We start from the raw sequence: 10610 nt of genomic DNA on the forward strand, positions 1-10610 counted from the left end.
CTAATTCTTTTTTCTGCAGGATTGAGTCTCCTCTTGAAGCTCTTTATTGAGTTTTTCCACTCCATCACTGTATTCCTGAGATTCAAAATTTCTATTTGGTTTCTATGTTTTTAATTCCTTCATTAAAATTCTAACATTTTCTTGCACTATTTTTCTGACTTTTGCTGGGTTTTTTTTTGCATCTCATTGAGTTTCTTTAAGATTATTCTTCTGAATTATTTATCAGGCAATTTATAGATCTCTGTTTCCTTGGGGTTGCTTACTGGAGCTTCATTGGTTATTTTTGCTAGTGCTATGTTTGCTTGATTATTTGTTATCTGTGTAGTCTTATATTGATCTGTACAATAGAAGGAACACATATCTCCTCCAGTCTTTATAGACTAGTTCTGGCAGATCTTCTGCTATAATAGTTCTCTGGTTGATGGGATTGCCTCTATGATCATGGTTGAGTGGGGTTGCAGCCAGGTCACATGGCTGCTTCTAGGTTCACAGTGGGGCCCAAGAAGTTGGTGGAACTTTTATCTACTGTTTCTAGTGAGTGTGGAAGCTGTCTGTCCCTGGGTGGACTAGATTGGTCCATTGAACTGGCACTAAGATAAGGATCTACAGACAGTGAACGTATTATAAGGTATGTGGACAGATGTGGCTTTCTCAAGTTCCCTGGGAAGGCACCTGCCAGATCACTCATTTGGGTTCACACATAGAAAAGTACTGTTCCAGTCTATGGCTTAGAGGGGCTGGAGCCAAGTCACAGGGCTGCTTCAAGGCTCACAAACAAGGATGAGGTCTTCAGATCTATCTCTGGGGTTATGGATGTGTGTGTGTGTGTGTGTGTGTGTGTGTGTGTGTGTGTGTGTGTGTGTGTTTTGTTGAGCTCCTGGGTGGGCAGACCCGTTCTCAGTCTGCAGTTAAGAGGGGATGTAATTGATTTATAGTGCCATTTTAAGATCCACATTGAGACTGAGGTCATCAGGTCAGTCTACAGGGGCACTGACATACATGCTTCCCTCTGGGTCCCAGGACAGGCAGAACTGCTCTCAGATTACAACTGAGAGGGGTTGGGGCCAACGGCTGTTTCAGGAATTTCTAAGGGATCAAGCTTGGAAAGCCTGTCCCAGGGACCCAGATGAGCATGTCCTGGAAGGTGCCTGACTGGGTAGAACTACTGCCTGATCATAGCCAAGATGGGCTGGAGCCAAGATTTAAGGCCCTTTCAGGAACTGATTTTGGCATGCCTGCCCCAGGACTCAGGAGGATGTATCTACCTCTGCATCCTCGTATGAGTAGGGCTGATCTTAAACCACAGCTAAAGGATGCTAGAGCCCAGTTAGAGGATAGTTTTGGGTTGACAGCTGGGACCAGTATCAGCAGACCTGTGTTTTTGTTGTTGTTGTTGTTGTTGTTGTTGTTGTTGTTTTTAGACGGAGTCTCTCTCTGTCGCCCAAGCTGGAGTGCAGTGGCACAATCTCGGCTCACTGCAAGCTCTGTCTCCTGGGTTCATGCCATTCTCTTGCCTCAGCCTCCCGAGTAGCTGGGACTACAGGCGCCCGCCACCATGCCCAGCTAATTTTTTGTATTTTTAGTAGAGATGGGGTTTCACCGTGTTAGCCAGGATGGTCTCAATCTCCTGACCTCATGATCCGTCAGCCTCGGCCTCCCAAAATGCTGGGATTACAGGCGTGAGCCACCACACCCAGCCCAGACCTGTGTTCTAAAGCACTAGTGTGTGTTACTCCTCCTGGGCCGCTTGGTGGATGGTTTTGGTAGCAGAATCAATGCCAAACAGGGCTAAAGAAAGTCCTTAGGGGGCTGGGACTGTTTCCAGGTTTGGAGCCTGAACTAGTAGTCAACGAGCCTGCCACCTGGGTGAGGGTCTTGCTCTCTCTTAGCTGCTACTGCAGAAAATTCTATTCTCTTGGCATCATTGGCCTGCATTCAGGTGTCTGGTGCTCATCTTTCATTTGAGCCAGTAATTAAATAGTATCATCTTTTAGTATCCAGCTCTTTGTTGAGGGGCTCAAGAGAGGAACCTGTAACAAAGGTACTGAAACCTTGAGTGCACAGTTCTTGGCTTCTACTTCTAAGTCAATCTTCACAAAATCAGGAGTCACATTAACCAGATAATCACACAATGTAAAAATGTGAACTCAAAGTGTTAACTGACATGAAGGAAAATATAATCAGGCATCAGATCTGGTCTGCAGATAAACTGTAAGGGATGAATGTGAATAAACCAGGTACATGAGAATTCGGGTTGGAAAAAAGTTGGGACAGATAAAAAAAAACACCCTAGAGAAAGGAAATGACATATTCAGAGGCTTGAGTTGAGATGGAGCATGACAACGTCAAATAATGAAGGCCACTGTGACTGGAGTACAGAGGACAACAGCAGAAGGACACCTGAAGGTGGTGGGCCAGACTGGTAAGGATCTTCCAGGACCTGAATATTTATAGCACCATCTTCAGACCACCAGCATTGGCATCAACAGGGAGCTTGTCATAAATGTAGAATCTCAGGCCCTAGCCTGACCCACCAAGTCAAAACCTGCATTTTAGAAATATCTCCAGCCGATTTGTGTACACATTAAAATTTGATAGGCATTGATCTAAAGTTGATTAAAGATTTTTAGTTGTAATACTTAGAGTAATAGGAAGTCATTGCAGGGTTTTTGCAGGTTGGTGAAATAATCAAATATATATATATTTTAAAAAGATTATCCTGGTGAAGTGTGGAAGAACAGAGTAAAGTGGGTAGACAGAGTAGAACTACAGAGACCAGGTAGGAAACTGTATAGTGAGGCAAGAGACAAAAGTAGAATGGATGAGGGTAGAGTCGTTCTACATAGAAAGAGTGGAATGGAGAGATATTTAGATGGTAAAATCTCTATACTTCTGTGGTGCTAAATTGATTTGATGAGTGAAAGAGCTGCCCAGGGTAAATGTCAGACTTCCAAGTTTCACATTTTGATGAATGGGGACATTCTTTACCAAGTTAGAAAAGACTGGAGCAGGACCAGGTGTGAGGCTGTTTGGAAAACATAATGAGTTAATCTCTGAATGCAATGAGTTTGATGTGCTTTTGAGACACCCAAGTGGAAATGGGAAGAAGAAGAGAGAGAAAGGCAGAGAATTATCTATATACACACACACACACACACACACACACACACACACACGTAATCAGAAATGAGTTCTGAGTTGGCAATATAAATTTGACTTTTGGGAGTATGAAAGAGATTATCCAGGGAGAGATGGCCTAGAATACAAGTCTTGGTTCTGGCTCCACTGTGAACTGAGCAAGTGAACTTCTAAATGTTTACTAATCTAAAAAAAAAAAAAAAAAAAAAAAGAAGGATAATAAATGTTTTACATTGCTACAATCATAGAAAAATCAATGTATATGAAAATTCTTTTGAAAACAGGAAGCATATTAAATTGTGCTAATATTGATACTTTATCCAGCTACACAATGAAAGGATATAAAATTAAATCACTTATTACAGAGTCTCAGTTTTCTCACTTGTTAAAAAGGGAGTTATAGGAGATTAACTCTAAGAGCTCTTGCAGCTCAGGGTAGGTCTAAGTCTGAAATATTTTCTCAATTTTGCAAAAGTACTATTCTTTCCATCAACCTTGGTTCTATGGTATATGGATTAGGCTTATGATCCTCTTGCAGAGATGTTCAATATCATATGTTTTCCCCTTTTCTAATTGCAGTACATATTCATAAAATGAAATGACGATACTGAATGTGTTATTTTAAAGCAAATTATCAAACCTTTATTTAGTGTTTGCTTCATGCTAAGTACTGTGAAAGGCAAAAGAAAAGGAAAGCATACAATTTACAGAAATAAAGCATTAGTGTGTAAAATGATGCTAGCAGAATAAAATAACAATAAATACAATAAATAGAAATACAGAGATGTCTTGCAGAAAAATATGATTTATTGTCCTGGTACTGGGAGTAGAGATTTTTAGCATGGTATAAATGCTAGTAGGAGGGAAGTCGTAAAAAGGAGGCACTATGGTCAACTGGAACAGTTCATTAAACAAAAATAATATTTCCACACAATAATAAGATCTGAGGAGGTTATCCCTGGTGAAGAGAATGGTGTGTGTGCAAAGGCCCAGAAATGCAGATCTATAATACATGTCAGTAGGATGTAAGAACAGAAATCTAATTAGGAAAGAAGATCCATGTAGGGAAATAGTCAGAAATCAGGCTGAAAATAAATATTGCATAGATAATACAGTGAGGCATTAATATTTGGGCAAGCCAGTTTAAACTGAGAGATATAAGGTGTTTTGGAGAACAACAACAACCAAAAAACCCAATGTCTAAACTATAAAATTCAAACAAAAAATGTAAAAAGGGTAGCCTTTAAAAATTTTGATCCAAGCTTTTTTTTTTGTATTTACAGGCCCTGCATTCACTTTTTTCTATTGGATAAACATAGCAGATAATATTCTTCATGTATTTTAAATTAAGAATGTGAGGATATTGCTACACTCAAAATCCAGGTGACTATTTAAATGGGAGAACAACATATATAGGATCCAGATGCCCTCCAGTTGTTTGTATTAACTCTTTCCCACAATCACCAGGTATAAGATGATAGAAACAAAATGGAATATGGCTCTGTAGGCTGCTCTTATAGAGAGACCGCCCTAGAAAACAAGACAAAGATTTCCTTTTAAAGGAGAAATCTCTTGATGTGAAAGAGTATCCTGATCTCCGACATGGATCTCATATTTCTGAAGCACAATGTGCCATTTTCTTTTCATGATGCCAAGGAAGATAAGATATCCTCTTTCCATTCAAATGAATACAAATTGGCAGAAACCATTTCTGATTAGTGTTCTACTTCTCCATATCTACCCCCACCATCCTCTATCAACACCTGCCTCCATAATTATACAAGCCTATGACTTTAAAGGAACCTATACTGAAGTTACCTTTATTCACCTTTCCCAAAGCAAACTATAATTGGAAAGTAAAGTAACTGTTCTTCAAAAACAAAACAAAAAACATTGCATATGACTATATGAAAATTTGTTTCCAATGATTCATAATGTTTGCAGCCTAGGAAATTCTGTTAGACTAAAATTCTTCTAAGGAATTTTTCTCCTCACTTTTTTCTCACAGTTACATACAACCTTCTTTCCTCTAGCATGTGAGTAAAGTTTCAGTATCCATTTTACCACTCATACTGGCAATCCTAATGACCCATTCAATTCAACATACATGTATCAATAAACCAACTCTACAACATGGTTCTAGAAGCAAGAGAAAACCCCAAGAGTACCATTGTCCTCTACAGATTTGCTGTCTAGTTGGAAACGCAAGACATTGATGGCCGGACTGTTAATTGATGGTACCGGTATATCTACCTGATACCTTCCTAGGCCAGAGAGAGGACCGTAAGCCACGTAGTCTGTAGAAGATGAATGGCAGGCTGGGCTGGGTGTGGAAGGCTTCATGGAAGAGCAATACCTCAAAGAGTACAGAGTAGAATCTGAATAGACCAAGAAGAGCAAAGATAGTGATCAAGGTGAGAGTCAGGGGATGGCAATCTAGCAGCGGCTAATAGACCAAGTCCTGGTATTAAGGTATTAAGTTTCCTTTATCCGAGCTTTTCCACTCACCTAAAAGAAAAATCTCCTCTTCTGCTATTTTGTTAAAGCTCACCAGACTGCTTCCTTTAAGGTAAACTATCTTTCCAGTCACAACAAGGTCCACCTAGGATGGCGATGAGAACACAATGCCTCTCTTCAGGGAAAGAACAGATAACTAAAAGAGACTAAAGTCAAAAGAGGAGGTTATTCCCTTGAATCTCCTTGATCTGCCTCCACATACTCACCACCAACATACACCTCCTCCAGGGAACAGCAATGAGTCTTAAAGTTTCCTGGACTTTACAGAGTCTTTTGGGTTTCACCAGGTGTTCGATCTCTAATTTGTATGTGACTCTATCAATCAAAAAAAAAAGAGAGAGAAAACACAAATCAAAATGAAAATTATTAGTTTTTTAAAAATCTTGTTGTTTGGCTTAATGCCAAAAAATGCTTTTCTCCTGCTATGCTATTGCTTATTTTCCTTTTCTCTCTTTTACAATAAGCGCCTATTGTAAATTACAAGGCACATGCAAGCATACACATGCACATGCACACACACACACACATACACATACCAAAATTTGGATTCTGCCCTTTCTAATTACAAATCACCACCTGTGGTAAAATTATTGAAAAACAGATGAGCTTTTCATTCCAGCAATAGCCCTAAAACAAGCAGCAGTTCCAACTGCCAGTGTGATGTATAGACACCACAGAGGGCAGATGAGGGATTAATTAGGTCTGTCCTTGCACATTGCCAGGGGAGCACTTCTGTAGAGGTGATTGAAAACTAGAAAGAGTGGCATTAGTCTTCATTGTTGGTTAAAGGCAACAAAAATAAAGATGCAATTGAGTTGACAAAGCTTCAAGGTATGTGGCTGAGTCATTTGGAGGTGTCAAAACGATCAAACTATAATTAATTAGCTAAGTGCTATATTTAATCCCTCAACTTTAATGAAGAATTCTGCATCCAAGAACAAATAGCAAAAGAGGTATCATCGGTTTCTGATATTTGTTAGATTTGGAGGGAGGGTAGTTTTTAGGGGAGAACTAAGCTTTTTTTTTTCTGGGCTGTAATGATCAACACCCCCTGCTTTTAATCTTATTGTCATTTCCCTTTTTCTTATAGAACAGTGGTGCTGTTCTCTGCATTTCTATGAGGGGAGCAATTACAGGCATACAACTCTCCCTGTCAGTGTGTGAAGTCTTTTCAAGGAGGCATGGAAGACTGACTGTGGGTTCTTTGGCTTTTGACTACTTACAGATTCCTTGTAGGTTTTCTACTAAGTATTGGGTCTATTTCAGAGCTGCAGGGTTGTAGCTTGTGGCCATAAAATAATAAACAATTCATAATTATGATCAGGAAAACTTCACTGAATGCCTACTATGTGTAGAGTACTTCCCTCTCTTTAAAAGTCTTTATGCATGGGACCTATGATGATTTTATTGTATTTTTTCCTGTTTTCTGTAAAGTTTTTGCTCACATTATTATTTTTTTAATTGATTTTCTGAGCCTCAAGGGAGTAGCAAACAGGTGAGGGTTGCTCTCTTCCTATGGGGCCTAACTCAGGCACTTAGTGGTTCCTTGATGAGTCTCATGATTCAACTAGTTCTAAGTGAAGGCAGAACTGAAATGTATTAATATTTAGTATTTTAACACATTGGCTATAAATTAGCAAATTTCCTTTCTGCAATTATATAGAACTTGTGTTTCTTTGTATTAGTTTCCTTTTATTTAAATTTGTAAAAGTGTTTTGTTTTCTTTTTCTTACATTATTACTCATGGAGACTTGGGAAAACACCACCCTGTTATTAAAATAATAATAAAAAAAAAGAATTGGAGAGAAGATAACCAGTATTCAAAAAAGCCATTCTTTTTAGCTTTTCAATCTGCAAAATTATTAACATATGTGAAAAATATGGGGATTCCCCTCAGGTGTCATGTAATATAGACTTCATATAAAAATAGTTTCTCCTCTCTTTTAAGGATTTATACTAAAATCTGTATTTTAGTAACTTTTTATATACAAACCACTATTAAAAAGGAAATAAGTAAACCACATTGATAATTATGCCTAGGACAAGTATTATTATACCTCAAATATATTAATTAGTAAATTTAATTAAGTAGTTTAACTATTTATTCTCTACAAAGGTCTTCTTGACTAAAGTAATAGCATAAAGTAGTATAATCAGAAATAACTAACTTATTTTCTCCCTCTCTTAACAAGCAAAATATGGAAGTTAAGCATTTTTTATCTGAAAGTTGAAAGTTTTCTCTTGGAGAAGAGCTATTGTCAAAGAAATGTAGCATCTGCCCTTACTACAAAAGAAAGGAACATTTTAGATTGAGAATGCTTCCAAAAAGAAATCTCTGGGAAGAGCAATCTTCCCATTCATTCCGCATGCTAGTCTTGCTCCAGTTCCCAATATGTTTTAAGCATGTGTCCTGTCACAAAATTGACTGTGTATTTGTTTCTTTAATGCTTGCACTTGGACTATTCATGTAATTTTATCTATCTTCAATATTAAGTTCCTTAGGGACTGGGATGATATACATAAAAAATGGCAATTGGAAAATGTCACAAAGCAAGCAAAAGTTATAACTAAAATGTGAATGTGGGCAGTGTTTTGTGATCATTCCACACACTATGAACTTTCTTGAGTGCCTTCCTTTGCTCATGTGACAAAGAAAAAAAAGCCCTGGGCCACAGTAACCTCAAGCATTTGTGGTGACAATGGTAGTGAGGGCTCCTTAAATGCAGAATGCAATTATCACAAACTTTAACAAAGTGAACAGGCAATAGTGGACAAACCTTCACCCGACTTGCCTTTATTTCACATCTATGACTTGCCAAAATAATGTACTAGACACTGAGCTGCTATTTAAATAAATAACAATTATATTACCATAATTAGACATCTTAATAAATAAACAAGATATCTATTGAAAGAAAGTTTTGGATTAAACATCTTGCTTTGTTTAAATCCCAAAGTACAACTTTGTCTTGTGGTTGTTGTCAAAACTATTGTTAGAGGTGAAATGTAGTTCGTGAATTTTTGAGGTGTTTACAATATAATATTTGCTGCTCTTTAATTTTTGAAGGAGATGAGTCCAGCTGTACATGGAGATGACTATAACCTGTACATGGCTTAAAGTACCAAGGTTCTTCTCCTCTCTGCAAAGGCAGAACTCCAACTATCCTTTGGGGATGCCTTCGTAGGCTCAACATGACTGCCTTTGCTTCAAAAAAACGAGTTTGTGCTATTCCTTATTAGTGAGCCACAAAGTGGGTATACTAACGCTGGTGGTGTTTGAAGTATGGGAGAGGTTGGAAAAATGGGTATTTCTAGATGCTTTATAGGGAGCAAGGAAAAGGCATTGGAGAGGAACAGCTGACCAGTTAGCTGTAAATCTGAGAAATGTTTACACAAGGAGAGACTTACCCTGGGAACCAGCAAGTTGCTCTTTAGTTAATGCTAAAATAATGAACATTCTTATTTCCTTGCAAGAAGTATGTTACTGGCAAGTGAGGAGGAGAGATGGAAGCTTAGAATGAGCTTTCAACAAATGGGTAGAAAATATTTGAATCCATCCCATCTTTCTCATCTTCATCCTAATTTCGCTTGCTTTTTCCCAGACTGTTAGCACAAGCAAAGTGGGGGAATCTAAAGGCATACATTCCCAAATATATTATTCCTCAGTGTCTTCTGAGTTCAGTTCTTAAGAAAAATGTGACATGGTAAGGATAACTATAAATGTACTATTTCAGCACATAGCACACAATCAAAAAAAAAAAAATGTCGGTAGCATATTTTCGTAGCTGACATGTAACAGCACACACCTCTGGGGCCTTGGGCAAACTACCACAGTGTCCCACAAAGTTACCTGGCAATCAAGGCTCTTTACAAGACAACAGTTACATTTATAGCCTTACATATGGTTCAGGACAGTGCCGGCATTTGAGGAGTGCCAAGTGCCAGGTGGCTCTTGAGGCCAGTTAAACCAGTTTCACACTCTTGCACACATCGTGTGGCTAGGTCACTTGTCATCTTTTTTTTTTTTTTTTTTTTTTGAGACGGAGTCTCGCTCTGTCGCCCAGGCTGGAGTGCAGTGGCGGGATCTCGGCTCACTGCAAGCTCCGCCTCCCGGGTTCACGCCATTCTCCTGCCTCAGCCTCCCAAGTAGCTGGGACTACAGGCGCCCGCCACTACGCCCGGCTAATTTTTTGTATTTTTAGTAGAGACGGGGTTTCACCGTTTTAGCCGGGATGGTCTCGATCTCCTGACCTCGTGATCCGCCCGCCTCGGCCTCCCAAAGTGCTGGGATTACAGGCATGAGCCACCGCGCCCGGCCACTTGTCATCTTTTTTCCCCCCACCCCGCCCGAGTTATGGAGGCTGTTGTGCAATAATTTTCTTTGCATATTCATAGTACTTTTCTGTTATTATCTTGACATACTCACTTATAATACAGTTTAAGTGCCAGTCAATCTTAGGAGAACACTGAATCTATTTATTGTCCCAGAGTACTTTATTTTTCTGATTTCCTCCTCAACGGCTATAGCTCTGTTATGCTACATCTCTGAAGTTACTACTTCCCATTGCAGTGGTTCTCCTTTGTAGCTGGATTTCTGCTACACCCTTTTTTTTCTGGAATTTTTTTTGGGGGGTAACTGTTGTATGATCCTTTTTAAAAAAATCAACAACTGGATTGTATGTCATTGTGTGTTCCATCTGGAAGACATCAAAGATCAATAGACACAGATCCTTAAAAACTGTCAAATAAAAACAAACACCATTCCTCCAGTTCCTGTTTCCAAATCCCAAGATAGTGCTAACTGTCAATAGACATACCTATAGCCCTACACAGGATTTGAAGAGACCAGGAGGCAAGCAAGGGCTGCAGGTAACTTGAAAGTGGAGTAAAGAACACAAACTGCAGCTTCTTTATTCTCTGGGAAAATGCCAATTATATATCTTCCATGGCTGTTA

The sequence above is a fragment of the Homo sapiens genome, chromosome 6 (genome assembly GCF_000001405.40).
Source record: "Homo sapiens chromosome 6, GRCh38.p14 Primary Assembly".
NCBI lineage: Eukaryota > Metazoa > Chordata > Mammalia > Primates > Hominidae > Homo > Homo sapiens.